The sequence below is a fragment of the Homo sapiens genome, chromosome 9 (genome assembly GCF_000001405.40).
Source record: "Homo sapiens chromosome 9, GRCh38.p14 Primary Assembly".
In the NCBI taxonomy this organism is placed as follows: domain Eukaryota; kingdom Metazoa; phylum Chordata; class Mammalia; order Primates; family Hominidae; genus Homo; species Homo sapiens.
In genome coordinates, this window is record NC_000009.12 from 35,493,902 (window position 1) to 35,511,255 (window position 17,354).

General features: G+C 38.4%; 1 protein-coding gene and 1 pseudogene across 4 annotated transcripts in view; both read left to right on the forward strand.

The window, feature by feature from the left end:
- The window catches only part of RUSC2 (RUN and SH3 domain containing 2), a 71,785-nt gene that overhangs the window by 3,791 nt on the left and 50,640 nt on the right, over window positions 1–17,354 (forward strand). The window lies entirely within an intron of this gene.
- Window positions 13,633–14,030, forward strand: RPL36AP33 (ribosomal protein L36a pseudogene 33; annotated as a pseudogene).

The following is a 17,354-nucleotide window of genomic DNA, read 5'->3' on the forward strand; positions in this document are numbered from 1 at the left end:
TTTTGGCTATTATGAAAAATGCTGATGTGAACATGAGTGTACAGATATGTTTGAGTCCCTGCTTTTAGTTCTTGTGGGTATATACCCAGAAGTGGTGTTGCTGGATTGTATGGTAATTTTATGTTTATGTTTATTTATTTATTTATTTATTTGAGGAACCACTGTTTTCCACAGTGGCTATAGCATTTTACATTCTCATCAGCAATGCATAAGGGCTCCAATTTTTCCACATCCTTGGCAACACTTGTTTTCTTTTTTTTTTTTTAAATAACAACCATCCTAGGCTGGGCATGGTGGCTCACGCCTGTAATCCCAGCACTTTGGGAGGCCGAGGCGGGCGGATCACCTAAGGTCAGGAGTTCAAGACCAGCCTGGCCAACATGGTAAAACTCCATCTCTACTGAAAATACAAAAATTAGCCAGGCATGGTGGCGCACACCTATAATCCCTGAGGCAGGAGGCTGAGGCAGGAGAATGGCTTGAACCGGGGAGGCTGAGGTTGCAGTGAGCTGAGCTCATGCCCCTGCACTCCAGCTTGAGTGACAGAGCAAAACTCCATCTCAAAATAATAATAGTAATATAACCATCCTAAGCAGTGTGAAGTGATATCTCATGATTTTGATTCATATTTCTCTAATGAAAAGATATCGAGCATTTTTTCATGTATTTCATACCTATCGGCCATTTGTATATCTTTGGAGAAATGCCTATTCAAGTCCTTTGCCCATTCTTGGATTGGGTTGTTTGTCGTTGAGTTGTAAGAGTTTTTTAATACATTTTGGACATTAATCCATCTCAGATGTATGATTTGCAAATATTTTCTCCTATTCCATGGATTGCCTTTCACTCTGTTAAAAGTGTCCTTTGATGCACGAAAGTTTTTAAATTTGAAATCTAATTTATCTAATTTTTCTTTTGTTACCTGTGCATTTTGTCTTACCCAAGAATCATTGCCAAATTAAGTGACATGAAGCTTTCCCTCTGTTTTCTTGTTTTTTATATATAATATATATTATACATATTATATAAAATTTATATATAATATATATTATACATATATAAAATTTATATATATTATATAATATATATTTTATATATTATATATACTACAGTATATATTTTATATATTATATATACTATAGTATATATAATATATACTATAGTATATATTATATATAGTATATATTATATATACTATAGTATATATTATACATTATATACACTATAGTATATATTATACATTATATATACTATATATATATATTTTATTAAATATATATAATATATTTTATTATAATATAATTTATTATATATAAAGTATATATTTATATTATATATGATATATATAATATATAAAATATATTTTTTATATATTATATATATTATACATATAGTTTTAGCTCTTATCTTTAGGTCTTTGATCCATTTTGAGTTAATTTTTGTATGTAATGTAAGATAAGGGTCTAACTTATTTCATTTGCTTGTGGATATCCAGTTTTTCCAACACCATTTGTTGAAAAGACTGACCTTTCCCCACTGAATGGTATTCACACCCTTGTCAAAACTCATCTGACCAGATATGTGAGGGTTTATTTCTGGGCTCTCTAGTCTCTTCCATTGGTCTTTATGTTTATCTTTATGCTGATAAAACACTGTTTTGATTACTGTAGCTTTGTAGTAAGTTTGGAAAATCAAGAATGTAAGTCCTCCAACTTTGGTTTTCTTTTTCAAGATTGTTTTGGTTGTTCAGGATCCCTTAAGATTCCATATGAATTTTAGGATGGATTTTACTATTTATGCAAAAAACATTGTTGGGATTTTGATAGGGATTGTATTGAATCTCTAGCTGACTTTGGGTAATACTGACACCTCTAATGATAGCAAGTTTTCCAATTCATGATCACCAGATGTTTTTTCATTTATTTATGTCTAATTTCTTCCAGCAATGTTTTGTATTTCTCAGTGTACAAGTCTTTCACTTCCGTGGTTAAGTTCATTCCTAAGTATTTTATTCTTTTTGATGTTACTGTAAATGGAATTGTTTTAATTTCCATTTCAGATTGTTCATTGTTAGTGTTTAGGCATACAGCTGATTGGATAAAGTTGCTCCAAAACAGATGAAGAAAATTACACCAAAGCAAAAGAAGCATCAGAGAGTGATGAGCGAGCTAGTAACCAGAGAAACTCTCGAGTCAGTGGTTGAGTAAGCAGTGGAGGAGGAGGGCTTAGATCTAGACAGAGTCCGAACGAGAAGCATGCAACAAGTGGAGACCTACCTCGAGGCTGCAGAGGTTGAGGCATGAGAGAGCCAAACTTCAATCGAGCGGGTTCTCAGGAAGCTCTCAGAGAGGATCACAGAGAATCAACAGGAAACAGAAGTCTCTAGAGAAACTCGACTTAAAATTAAGTCAGGCAGTATCACCAGTTGAGCCATAAATAACAGGTTCATCTTCGTAGAAACAAAGCTCGGTGCATTAAATCTTCTTTTGTTTCTACAAAGGCTCCCCAAGGGTTGGCTAACCTTAGAGATGCTATGTCTCTTGCACCTGCAGTCACTTATCCCGCTCTATCAAGCTTGCACTTGGCCAGCCCATCTGCCCCTCCTGCTGAAGGTGATGCATGGGATCCATGCTCGGACTGTTGTAAACCAAGTTCTGTGATACGTCAATTCCTGGTGTTGTCCTATTTGAATATCCTAAATTTCCCATAAGAGTTGTTATGAATGTAACATGTAAATTTACTATCACTGATGATTCCTCTGAAGAATTTCATGCAACCACCAGAAGGTGCAAGATCCTAGAGATCTACATATCTTAGGCATTTTCCAGGAGTACTCCTTCAACTGTCGCCCTGCACCTGATTAAGCTGGATATACTATAGTAAAACAATATGTAACAGATCCATGCACTACATGGTGTTATTGTGGAAATGGCCCTGACACATGGCCACTCACTTGACAGCTGTACAAAAGACAGTTATGTTTTTGCCTAGAGGACGCTAAGGTTAAAATTGTCTTTATTGCTCATCTTCCCCACTGATACTGAGCACACCTGGCATAGCTGAGATTAAACTATGAGTATGTATACTTGAATCTGGCATTTAATCCTCACAAAACGAATAGTGACTACACAGTCAAGCATCTTTAATGGGCAAGTACTTGAGCATCCAACCCATGTAAAGTTTGACGATCTGCACCTCTCCTGTCCTTCCCCTTAGAGAGTGAGTACAAGTTTCTAGATGACAGGTTCGGTGTAGACTGTTCAGATGCATCTGGCCAAGTTGTCATGATTTCTCATTGAGGGAAGAGAGATACGACACAGCAGTACATTGTGGATATGTTGAACCCATTAATTGATAGTGCAGCCATCACTGAGAAGCAACATTCAGTCTTTTCTTGCAGATCTTTACTGTACAACCCCTTACTGATATGACCCCATTTGTTGAGCTGTTGTGGATGAAAAGAACTTAATTGGGTTAGTAAACTGGAGAACTGTTTTGTTTTGGTGTTGCAAACCCATTTGGGTAGAATTTGTTCCATGGGTCAACAACTCTGTATCCCCTGGCCATGTATAAGAACATCACAATTATGTATTACCAGCCATATATCCGAATACTATATGCTACTTCTCCTGAAGTCGGCAGCAGATTGTATATCCTAATAAACACATCTGTGGGAAGCTATCTTAGGACAACAAGATCTTCATTATACCCCAAGAAGATCTCCAGACCTAGGGTGATTAAAACATTAACTGCAGACATTAAAGACATTGATATTATTAATGATATGCACACTCATGTCCACTTAACTGACCCTCTTGCATTGGCAGTGGGCCCATTAGTAGATGTAGAGGCTATTAAACATGAGATCATTGGGCATGCAGATTCAGTCTCCTCCTTTCACTCCTTTGGTGCAGGATTTATCACTTCTCTGTCCCTGTGGAACATTGTGAAAGATATGTATCTACATCTGTCACACTTAGACGGAACTTTGTTTCTCCTATCTTTTGTTGTAACTGCCATAGGAAAATTATACATGTACTACAGGACAGTAGAACAACTTTGCCTATATTCTCAGCTAATTAAATAAAAAAGCTGGTTTTTATGTGTTGATTTTGTACCCTGCATCATTGCTGACACTAAAAAATGCTTAGGGTATTTGCAACTAATCATTATTAGTTCTAATGTTTTTGTGGCATCTTTAGGGTGTTCTCCATACAAGATCGTGTAACCTTGGAACAGAGATAATTTTAGTTTTGGTTTTTTTTTTTTCCCAATTTGTATGCCTTTTATTTCTTTTTCTTACCTAATTACTCAGGTAGGAATTCCAGGACTGTTAAATAGAAATGGCAAAAGAATGCCAGGTTTGGTGGCTCATGCCTGTAATCTCAGCACTTTGGGAGGCTGAGGCAGGCAGATCACGTGAGATCAGGAGTTTGAGACCAGCCCGGCCAAAATGGCGAAACCCTGTCTCTATTAAAAATACAAAAATTAGTCAGGCATCTTGGCGCCTGCCTGTAATCCCAGCTACTTGGGTAGCTGAGGCAGGAGAATTGCTTGACCCCGGGAGGCAGAGGTTGCAGTGAGCCAAGATCATGCCACTGAGCTGAGATCATGCCACTGCACTCAAGCCTGGGAGACAGAGCAAGACTCTGTCTCAAAAAAAGAAAGAAAAAGAGGCCAGGCGCGGTGGCTCACGCCTGTGATCCCAGCTCTTTAGGAGGCCGAGGTGGGTGGATCACGAGGTCAGGAGATCAAGACCATCCTGGCCAACATGGTGAAACCCCATGTCTACTAAAATTCAAAAAAAAAATTAGCCGGGTGTGGTGGTGCGTGCCTGTAGTCCCAGCTACTCAGGAGGCTAAGGCAGGGGAATCACTTGAACCCAGGAGGCAGAGGTTGCAGTGAGCCGAGATCGCCTGGCGACAGAGTGAGACTACATCTCAAAAAAAAAAAAACAAAAAAAGAAAAAAGAAATGGCAAAAGTGAACCATTTCTCTTAACACACAATCCTTATGGGATTGTTGATTTGGTATGCAAGTCCTTAATAGACACTGAAAACAACATTATTTTAGCCTGGTATATTATTAATGTTAACAGTAGTGAGGCCAGGCGTGGCGGCTTATGCCTGTAATCCCAGCACTTTGGGAGGCTGAGGCAGGCAGATCACTTGAGGCCAGGAGTTCAAGACCAGCCTGGGCAACATGGTAAAAGCCCAGCTCTACTAAAAATACAAAAATTAGCCAAGCGTGGTGGCATGCACATGTAATCCCAGCTACTTGGGAGGCTGAGGCACAGGAATTGCTTGAACCCAGGAGGCAGAGGCTGTAGTGAGTTGAGATTGTGTCACTGTGCTCCAGCCTGGGCGACAGAGTGAAACTCTCAAAAACAAAAACAAAAAACAAAATAGTAGTGAGTCATCAAGAAAAGTTAAATTATAGCCTACATAATACATTTTAAAAAGTTCTGCCAAAACACTTAAAGTTTTTAAAAAATTAATTTTGATACTTTAGGAAGAAACCCTCTGTTCCTTGGAATTGTTGGTTTAATAAAAGTCTTTTATCTTCAAGAAAATGAGATGGTAAACTCTGAGGTATGTGTTGTATTTTTGGCTTCTTGTGTGAGTTCCTGCAGACAAGGACAATAGACTGATAACTGGGTGGAAAGAAAAATAGGGCCAGCCAACTTCTGGCTAAAGTTTAATTATCTTAGGATCAAAAGTCTATACTTAACTTGTTTATCTTAGGATCCAAAAAAATCTGTATTTAATTTATCTGTTTTTATACTTTGTGCTTCCTTTCTTTTCCTGTATAATTCTTTTTAAAAAAAGAAAATGCACCCTTGTATTTAGTGTACTTAGGGAAAATGGACATTTATTTTTATCCACGCCCAGGCAAAAGAAAAAGAGCAAAGTTCTCCTAAAGGCAGCATAGATAGGATTTAGATGAACCCAAGGTAAAAAGCAAAAACTGCAGGGGAGAAAGTTGGGAACCTACTACTAGTCCCGTTCATCCTCAAGTTGTTTCTCTTCCAAAATGTTCTTTACTTGTTTTTTGAAAGTTGTTTATTTCTGTTTAAAGATACAGTCAAACTTTGTTAAAGTTGGCTGTATTCTATTTATTTAAAGTTATAGCCAAACAGAACAGCTTATTTTTCTAGAGTTCCGGATAGCTAGAGTTTTTCTATAAGACTAATGATTTCCTTTTAAACATCTCCCAAAGCCTAGTGATTCAGACGTTTCTGCCTTACTGTATTAGTCTGTTTTTATGCTGCTGATAAAGACATACCCAAGACTGGGCAATTTACAAAAGAAAGAGGTTTAAAGGACTTAAAGGCAAGGAGGAGCAAGTCACATCTTACATAGATGACAGGCAAAGAGAGAGAGAGAGCTTGTGCAGGGAAACCCCCTTATAAAACCATCAGATCTTGTGAGACTTATTTGCAACCACAAGAACAGCACAGGAAAGACCTGCCCCCATGATTCAATTACCTCCCACCAGGTCCCTCTCACAACACATGGGAATTCAAGATGAGATTTGGGTGGGAACATAGCCAGACCATATCACTTACTTATCTATTACTGTATAACAAAACACCCCAAAACTTAGTGACTTAAAACAACAATTGATTTTATTTCACAATTTTGTGGATGGGCTGGTGGTTTTTTGTACTTCTGAAAAGAGTTCTAAGAATGCTTTTACTAGGAGCACTACTGGAATGAGTTAAATTTCTCAAGGTGGCTACTTTGTTTTTTAGAGTTTTAAAAATTCTTTCCTCTTGCCAATTATTCCCTCATAACCAATGTGACCACTTTGAAGGACATATCTTATTTGGTCATACAAGAGCTATTCTTTAAAATATTGCTCTCTTTAGTTTTATATTTATAGCTATAGTTAACTTCTTAGATAGCATAGTGTCTCTTTCAGTTTATATAATGTTCTTTGCCTGATATCCAACACAGCAACCTGCAACTGTATTAGTTTATTCATCCTTAATGATAGTGGCTGGAGAAAGGAGGGCTGGAAGCAGGATCACCTGCCTCATTATACATTTGTGAGTCCTTTCTAACAACCAAGTGGTGGTGATGAATAGCTAACAAGGAGCATTTATCTTATGAGGAAAAAAAGACAGCTGTGGCTTTTTATTGGCCTGTGAGAATCTATAGTAGAGAATAAAGAATTTCAAACTTTTTTTAAAACAGACTTTTGTTCAAATATATTCTACAGGAAAGGGACTCAGAAAGATAAAAGTTGGGCTGTTTTGGTTGAATGCATGGAGTTGGGAGAAGTAGTCTAACCTGTTCAGGTTTCCCTCTTTTCATCTACATCCCCTTCACTTCCTTTTCAAAGTCCCCTGAAGGAGCTCTGTAAAGAATAGTTCAGAAGTCACTGATACAGGCCGGGTGCAGTGGCTCACACCTGGAATCCCAGCACTTTGGGAGGCCAAGTAAGGTGAATTGCCTGAGCTCAGGAGTTTGAAACCAGCCTTGGCAACATGGGAAAACCCTGTCTCTACCAAAAATAAAAAAATTAGCCAGGCATGGTGGGGGGCACCTATAGTTCCAGCTGCTCCCGAGGCTGAGGCACAAGAATTGCTTGAGCCTGGGAGGCAGAGGTTGCAGTGAGCCAAGATCGTGCCACTGAACTCCTGCCTGGGTGACAGAGTGAGGCTCCATCTCAAAAGAAATGTCACTGATACAGATATTTCTTCTACTGAGTTATGACTCCAAGGTAGAAAGAGATAAAGATAAATGGTTGGGTTTGGGATATATATAGTCTTCAACTGACCATGCACCAGTAGCAGCCAACCATGGTTCGAGAGACATGTAACCAAAATATGTGCTGCATACATACAGTCTCCAAATTCCTATGTGAAATCCTTAGCCTTAATTAATTTAATGAGTTTCATGGAACCAGAAATGAATTATAGATCCTTTTTTCCTCCTTTAGTTTAGGACCTATGCTAGTTTTTTTAATCCACTCTAGTCCTGAGTCAAGATATTTTTTCTAGCCATGCTTTCTAGTTTATAATATGAAAACAATAGTTGTTTTTAGAATATTTAATAATGTTTATACTTCTAAAAAATATACACTGAACATTGAGGGCTCTGCACCTCTTTCCCTTTGAGTACTGTTGGTCTCTTTGTCCAATACTTCTACACATGTGCTTCTCAAACTTGATGGAAAAAAAAATCACCCGGATCACCCCTGAAATTCTGATTCAGTACATCTGGCATGGGGCCCAAGTATTTATCTGTGCTTAATAAGTTCACACATGAAGCTGATTCTGCTGATCTGCAGACCACACTTTGAGTAGCATGACTCTTAGATCTAAACTCTGTTCTCAGCCTCTTACTTAGTGGTTCTCAAAATGTAAAGGCTTTCCCCAAACCCCACCCCCTAAGAAAAAGCCCTGGTGCACCAGACCCAAAAATTGAAAGTCAAATAGTGCCACTGTCTAAGAGTGTGGGATATATCACCATGGGTTTTCTTCCTCTAGAGATTAGGTTTATAAATCTCTCACTCCCTCAAGATTAAGGGATTGTGAAGAAGAGTTCTAAGGAAATACTTTTAGCTGTCCAGACTTTAACCTCGAAAATCCTTAAACTGAAGTTCCTTTTTATGGAGAAAGATTAAAAGTGTACATTTTCCCTTGAAAGTTAAAAAATTTTTTTTGTTTAAAAACATTTTCTGAAAAAAATTCTTTTTCTGAATATAGATGAAATATATGCTCACTGTAGAGAATCTACAAAAGACAAGTATAAAATGAAAAGATATCATTGAACAGTTCTTAGAGGCCAAAATTTTAGCAGTTGTATAAGAAATCTATGTTTGAATGAGCCATAACTTGCTTACCCCAAATGGACATTTGTGGTTTTATAGTACTTTTAAAAATTTTTCAATAGTTTTTGGGACACAGGTGGTTTTTTTGGTAACTTAGATAAGTTTTTTTGTTTTTGTTTTTTGTTTTTGTTTTTTTGAGACGGAGTTTTGCTCTTGCTGCCCAGTCTGAAGTGCAGTGGTGCACTCTCATTTCACTGCAACCTCTGCCTCCCAGGTTCAAGCGATTCTCCTGCCTTAGCCTCCTGAGTAGCTGGGATTACAGGCATGCAACACCATGGCCAACTAATGTTTTGTATTTTTAGTAGAGATAGGGTTTCATCATGTTGGCCAGGCTGGTCTCGAACTCCTGTCCTCAGGTAATACACCCGCCTTAGCTTCCCAAAGTGCAGGGATTACAGGCGTGAGCCACCGCACCCAGCCAGATAAGTTCTTTAGTGGTGACTTCTGAGATTTTGGTGCACCCATCACCTGAGCAGTGTACACTATGCCCAAATATTGTCTTTTATCCCTCACCACCACCCCCGCCGTTACTCCTCTAGTCCCCAAAGTCTATTATATCATTCTTACGCCTTTGAATCTTCATAGTTTAGCTCCTACTATGAGTGAGAACATAAGATATTTGGTTTTCCATTCCCGAGTTACTTCACTTAGAATAGTGGCCTCCAGCTCCATCCAAGTTGCTAAAAAAGCCGTTATTTTATTCCATTTTATGGCTGAGTAGTATTGCGTGGTGTATATATACCACATTTTCTTTATCCACTTGGTTGATGGGCATGTAGGTTGGTTCCATATTTTTGCAATTGCCAATCGTGCTGCTATAAACGTGTGTACATGTGTCTTTTTCATATAGTGACTTCTTTTCCTTTGGGTAGATACCCAGTAGTGGGATTGCTGGGTCAAATGGTAGTTGTACTTTCAGTTCTTTAAGGAATCGCCATACTGTTTTCCATAGTGGTTGTACCAGTTTACATTCCCAATAGCAGTGTATAAGTGTTCCCTTTTCACCACATCCACAGCAACAACATCTATTATTATTTTTTTTTTCTTTTTTGAGACAGAGTTTCACTCTGTCATCCAGGCTGGAGTGTAGTGGCATGATGTTGGCTCACTGCAACCTCCACCTCCCAGGTTCAAGCAATTCTCCTGACTCAGCCACCTGAGTAGCTGGGATTATAGGTGCATGCCACTATGCCCAGCTAATTTTTGTGTTTTTAGTAGAGACAGGGTTTTACCATGTCGCCCAGGGTGGTCTCAAACTCCTGGCCTCAAGTGATCTGCCCGCCTCGGCCTGCCAAAGTGTTAGGTTTACAGGCGTGAGCCACCGCTCCTGGCCATTTTAATACTTTTTAATTATTAACTTTATGCAAAAATCTTTGTCCACATCTCTGATAATTTCCTTAGCATAGAATTCTAGAGGTGGAGTTACTGAGTTAAATGATTTGAATAGTTTTAAGACTTGAGATATATATTTTTCCGAGCTCATTATTAAGATTGTACCAAAATATACATACACTGGCAATGAATGAAAATGCCTGTTGTACTTGCCTTCACCAGAATTAACTATTATTATTTTGTCTGATAATTGGTAGCCAAAAGGTGGTAATTTATTGTTTTAAAGTTCAAACTTTTTGTATGTTCATTAAGTATATTTTGTTTCCTCTTCTCTGAAATGTTTGTTCATATCCTGGCAATTTTCTATTAAGATCTTAGTTTTTTGGGTTTTTTTTCTTTTTTTTTTTTTGAGACGGAGTTTCGCTCTTGTTGCCCAGGCTGGAGTGCAATGGCACAATCTCGGCTCACCGCAATCTCTGCCTCCCAGGTTCAAGCGATTCTCCTGCCTCAGCCTCCCAAGTAGCTGGTATTACAGGTGTGCGCCACCACGCCCAGCTAATTTTGTATTTTTAGTAGAGACAGGGTTTCACCACGTTGGCCAGACTGGTTTTAAATCCCTGACCTCAAGTGATCCACCTGCCTCATTCTCCTGAAGTGCTGGAATTATAGGCATGAGCCACCATACCCAGCCAAGATCTTAGTTTTAAGTGAAATAAGAAAGTCACAGGACAAATATGGCATGATTCCACTTGTATTAGTTATCAAAAATAGTTAAAATCATAGAAGCAAAAATAGAAGGAATGGTGGTGGCCAAGGCCTGGGGTGGGGTTTGGGGGCGAATGGGGATTTGCTCCTTCATGGGTATAAAGTTTCAGTTATACAAGCTGAATAAGTTCTAGAGATCTGCTGTACAATGCTATGCTTATAGTTAGTTAACAATATGTGCTGTACACTTAAACAGTTGTTATGAAGTTAGATCTTATGTGTTTTCACCACAATTTTTTTTAAATCTTAGTCTTTAGTTATTCACACAAGTTCTTTACACATTAAAGATATATGCCTATATGCCTTTTGTTATAACAAATATTTGCTTGCCTTTTAATTTTGTTTGTGATTTTTGACATACAGAATTTCATAATATCTATATGGTTAAGTCTTTAGTTTTCTTTTGTAATTTCATTACTCCTTTCAGCAAATGCACTGGGAGTCTATGTCTTGAGTCTGGGACTGTGGAGCTCAGATCTTTCTGAGGAACTCTTTGTATGCACATGGTTTTCTCTAACTGAGATCCCTTCCTTAGTCCCCGACCCCACCACATATTTCTACTCCTCCTCTAACAGTTCAGTCATTTGACCCTCCTGAAACTTTTCTTGATTACCTCATGCAAACTTGGGTATGATTTCCACTATGCCTTCATTTGACCTTGTCTGGAGCTCCATTATAACAATTAACAAATTATTTTATATAACCATAAACTCCATGAGGACAAGAATAGAGTCTTTGAATCCAGGGTCTCTCAGAGATCTAGAGAGAAATTGACCTCTTTCATTTAATATATGAAATTCTTCATATATTGAAAATGATTGAAATCCAAACCACTATTATAATAATTTTAGTATATTTTAAATATTTGCCTTAACAAATTAATTTTAATACTGTAATGATTGTACTTAGGACAGAAACAACATAATCATCTCAGTGGATGCAGAAAACACATTTGACAAGTTTATGATAAAAACACTCAACTAGGAATAGCATCTAACTTCCTCAACCTGACAAAGGGCATCTACAAAAAACCCACAGCTAACATCATTCTTAAGGTGAAAGATTGAAAACTTTCTCTCTAAGATCAGGAATAAAAGGAGGATGTTCATTCTCAACACTTCTATTCAATATTGTTCTGGAAATTCTAGTCATAACAATTAGGCAAGAAAAATAAAAGGTATCCAGATTGGAAAGGAAGAAATATAACTATTGCTATATGCAGATGATATGGTCTTGTATATAGAAATCTTAAGGAATCCATAAAAACTATCATAACTAATAAACTAGTTCAGTAAGATTGTGGGATACAAAATCAATGGGGACGGGCTTGCTTTTAGGAGTGATGAAAATATTTCAAAGTTAGATTGTGGTCAGAGTTGCATAACTGTGAACACACTAAAAACCACTGAATTGTATACATTAAAAAGGTGAATTTTATACTATCTGAATTACATGTTAATAAAGCTGTTAATTTAAAAATATACTTATAACTTTGAATGTAAGGATGAAGAGCTAAATTTGAAGTCCTTTGTAAGTATCAGGCTTGAGCCTAAGATCTTCCTGTCCCCCTTCCCCACAATTCGTGATAGGCTTTATTTTCCACTATGCATTTCTGGTGCCTAACACAACGCCTGACAAATGGTATAAGCTCAGTAAATATTGGTAGAATGAATAGAGAATGAATGAATGAATTACAGGGTTTGAACTGACATTAAGCCTAGCTCAGCAAATCTGTTACATTTCTTAGGTTGCTTTGCTTTCACAAAAGATCTGATTAATTTAGTAACATTCACAGAGATTATAGCCTGGCACCCAGGATGAGTATGATTTTAGCCCTATGAACAAGTTTTAAAGAAGTACAGAAGACAGAGTGGTCAGTGCTGACTGGTTGACTAGATAAAGCTCATACAAAAAAATCTGTGATCCAAGCTGAACATGATCTAAAGCATCTAAGTAGGAATTTTAAAAATCAAAATAAATATATAAAAATGGGCCAGGCATGGTGGCTCACACCTGTAATCAATGCTAGAACTTTGGGAGCCCAAGGCAGGAGGATCATTTAAGCTTAGGGTTTCGAGACTAGCCTGAGCAACATAGTGAAACCTCGTCTCTACAAAAAAAATTTAAAAATTATCTGGGTGTGGTGGTGCACACCTGTAGTCCCAGCTACTTGGGAGGCGAGGTGGGAGGATCATTTGAGCCTAGGAGGGTGAGGCTGCAGTGAGCTGTGATTATACCACTGCACTCTGGCCTGGGCAACAGAGGGAGACCCTATCTCAAGAAAAAAATAAAAATAAGAATAATCACAAAATAAATTTAAATCACCTATAATCCCACTTTCCTATGCTTTCTGTTTACATGCATATATAAATTTTGCATGGATGTAATTGTAGCATTAAGATTATTTTATATTCTGCTTTAATTTAGTTCCTAAGCATTTATCCATGTTGCCACATAGATTTTATGATTTATAGCTTAGTGAATTCCATTCACTTGTTGAAGCATCCTCACTAGTAGTCCTTTAACTTCAATAAAACTTCACTGATACTACATTCTTTTAAAAGTATACTTGCCTGATAAAACCCCAACCCTGAATGAATATAACCCCTTACCTTCTCCATGTCTGTACTCAAATAGCTCAGCTTTGCTGGAGAAAGTTGTACAGGCCAGCATATTTAGCATCACTCTAAATTCATCATTACCAGCTGACAGCACTCCAGCGAACATGGTGAATGTTCCCCAAACCCACCAGACTTTCTGTAAGAAGTATCACAAGCACCAACTCCACAAAGTGACATAGTCCAAGAAGGGCAAGGATTCTCTGTGTGTCTAGGGAAAGCAGCATTATGACAGGAAGCACAGTGGCTATGGTGGGCAGAGTAAGCCGATTTTCCAGAAAAAAGCTAAAACTACAGAGAAGATTGTGCTAAGGCTTGAGTGTGTTGAGCTCAATTTCAGATCTGAGAAAATGTGGCTATTAAGAGATGCAAGCACTTTGAACTGGGAGGAGATAAGTGAAAAGGCCAAGTGATCCAGTTTTAAGTGTCATCTTTTGTTTTGTTATGAAGACAATAAAATCTTGAGTTTATGTTCCAAAAAATTTAAAAATAAATTCATCATTACCGAAGTTAATATTGGCAGCAGTCTTACTATATTTCTCTAACAAGTATCCTACTCTACTCTTTGCAACAAATGTTTCATCCCTTCATTACTCTCTTCTACCTCTCACCCTCCCTGTTTCCTTCCCTATGCTGTTGGTAGTCTTGACTCATACCTCAGAAGGAAAAAGGAAGCCATCATATGTGAGCTCTCTTACTTCCTACCACCAATCTGCAAACGTGTCTACAGCCATCCTCTCCTCTCTAGTTGGAGGAAATATTCCACCTCCTAACAAAAGCTAAGTAATCCCTCCCTGGCGCTCTGGATTGCATACCCTCCTACTTGATCACAATTGGTTGCTTACTCAGCAATGACTTCTCTATTCCTCCTTTGAAGCGTAACAGTTTGTTTAGATATCCACCTTCCTCCACACATGCCTGTGAATGTGAACATATCTCAGTGTAATGTTTGAGATGACTACTGGAGCCATGCTCTGACCTAAGGATGGCAGATTTAAATGACATGTTGAACCTCTGAATTCACTAACCTGGCAGTCACTGTGCCTCTGGTCTTCTTGATATGTGTGACAATGAATTTCCTCTGTTGTTTAAGCCACTCTGAGATTGTCGTCATCCATATGCAGAGAATATCATACCAAAATGGTATACTCTTTAAGCTATCCCAAATAAACCTATATTCCAAGTACAAACACTGTCATTGCTATACAAATGGAACTTTATGACAATTCCCTGATGCTACTCCATTCCCACCTATCCCTTTTAATCTGTTTGCTGCTCCTAAAATCAACCTATAGCGAAATTCTGGAGCCACTACAGCTTCTCAGGTATGTTATTCCATCATTTAACCTCTTTTCTTAATCTTTCACATCAGTGGGGACAAAAACAAAAGGAAAAGACAGAAAGAATACAAGTACATTTCCCAGAACTGAAGAATATGAGTCTACAAATTGAAAGAGTCCACTCAGCACCCAGCATAACAAATAGCACCAACATAACTTATCCCAGGGTCCTTCATCTTGAAAATTTGGAAAACCAAGGATATAGAGAAATTCCTAAATTAGTCTTTAAAAAAAAAAGTTAGAAAAATATCAGGAATCAGAATCAGAATGAGGCTGGGCACAGTGGCTCTCACCTATAATCTCAGCACTTTGGGAGGCTAAGGCCGGATCACTTGAAGCTAAGAGTTCAAGACCCTCGTCTCTTCAAAAAAAAATTAAAAATTAGCCAAGTGTGATGGTGCATACCTGTAGTCCCAGCTACTCAGGATGCTGAGGCAGGAGGATCACTTGAGCCCCGGAGGCACACCACCTTGTCCAGAGAAACTTTTCTAAAGCAGAAGCTGTGGAACTTAGGGAGGGTCACATGGTGTACATGTCTGGAAATAATTAGATCTTTTAAGGAGAATCTTGTCAGCCCATGAGTTTACATGGAAGACTTGCTTCTACTGTGTTCTGGTGACAGTGAGCAATTCAAGTAGACCTGTACCTACCCGTGTTCATTGGGCAGGAAATTCTTGATTTACAGTTAACATAAATTCACTCTAACCTCCTTTCTATATATTTTCCCGAGATGTTGCCTAGGTTAGAGCTGCTTTACTTTACAACTTACAGGGGGACAAAGAACAAAGCCGTGAAGAAAAGTTAAAGAATTTGAGGTAGTATTCCTATTGAAAAGAAAACACTGGCTATGACCATGACATGGTTCCCTGTTGTAAACTGGTAAATTGAACGGTAGTACAGTCTCAAAAAGGCAATAGGAGGGATTCAGGTTAAAGAAAAGAGGAGATTCCTGATTCACATTTATTATAGTTGTCATTTATTGAGCCCTGCCTAAATACCAGTCCCTGTCCTAGATGTCTTATATATCTTCTCTGTAACTCCTACCACCACCCTGTAGGAAGGTATTATCCCCATTTTAAAATGAAACAGAGGCTGAGGGGAATCAAATAACTTGCCAGCTGCTACAGAATTAGTCCTGAAGAGCAGAGTTCTATACCTACCTTTTCTTAGCTCTTTACATTGACCAGAAAGAAACAAAAATGAATGGCCTGATGCTGAAAAGAGCAAATCAGGGTTCTATTTCTCCAGTGTAATGGACAGTAGTTTGTTAATTGAAGTGAGTTCCTATGCCTTAAATAAAAATATGTAATATAAAAATAGGTACTGAATTCCCACAAAATGAATGGGAATAAAAGTGGAGCTTAACCAAGAGTATGTTATTGATAGATTCCGGTGACTTTTCAAGAGTTTTCAATTCAGGCATAAGTAATTGGCTGGGCATATGGTGGCTCACACCTGTAATTCCAGAACTTTGGGAGGCCGAGGTGGGAGGATTGCTTGAGCCCGGGAGTTCAAGACCAGCTTTGCCAACATAGTGAGACCCCGTCTCTACAATAAAAATTTTTAAAGAGAAAACAGATAATTTTAATTGCCAATACAGTGTAAACTGGACCCTGATTAATAAATATGCTAATTGGCCTCCCTGGATGGAGCTGGCTTTCATGATTTAACTATCTTTCCTTTGAATGCAGCACATTCCAAAGGCCTACTTAATCGAGTATACAGTCATAGTTATTTATTTGTTTAGTCTCCCTGGGTGAACTATAAACTCCATGAAGGCAGGCATCAGGTTTTTTTCTTTCACACACTACAGTGTCTGGCACTTTGGAGGTACTCAGTTAAGATTTATTGAGTAATTCCTTTAGTCCTTGGGTGAGACTTTGGCATTTAAGGTTCTCAGGGCCGCAGATTCCTTCAAACGTTTGCCCAAAGCAGAGAAGGAAACTCTTCTAGAGCACTGTTGTGTATTACTGGGTTGGGCTGTTAGATTTCCCAGGTCCTGCCTCCTTTGGGTGGGCCCCTAGGGCTTGATGCCAGATGGGCTGTGTTTTTGGCAAAGGGCTTGTTCTTATTCTGAGATTTTGACTATAAATGGACTATGCTATTTGCTGTCCCCACTGAACCCAGTGGGGAAGCAGCCGACAATGGGAGCACAGAGTTACTACTTTTTCTGCTGGAACCTCCCAACATCTACCCAGAGATAGCTCCAGTATAGGTTGGCCAAGCAGGAAATTCCAAACACTTTTCCTGAAACTCCAAACAGCTTGAGGAGTCTCTTCAGATGGAGTTGGAAAAGCTCCCAGCGAGCAGAGCTGGGTCTTATGTAACTTTATAGACTGCCCTTTTTAGTGTAACTTTATAGCACTGCCCTCAGCTAGTGCTGGACTTTTGAAACATATCCTGCATTCTTTCCTAGCTACTCAGCAGTCCCTATTGGAAGCAGCTAATAGGACAGAGTT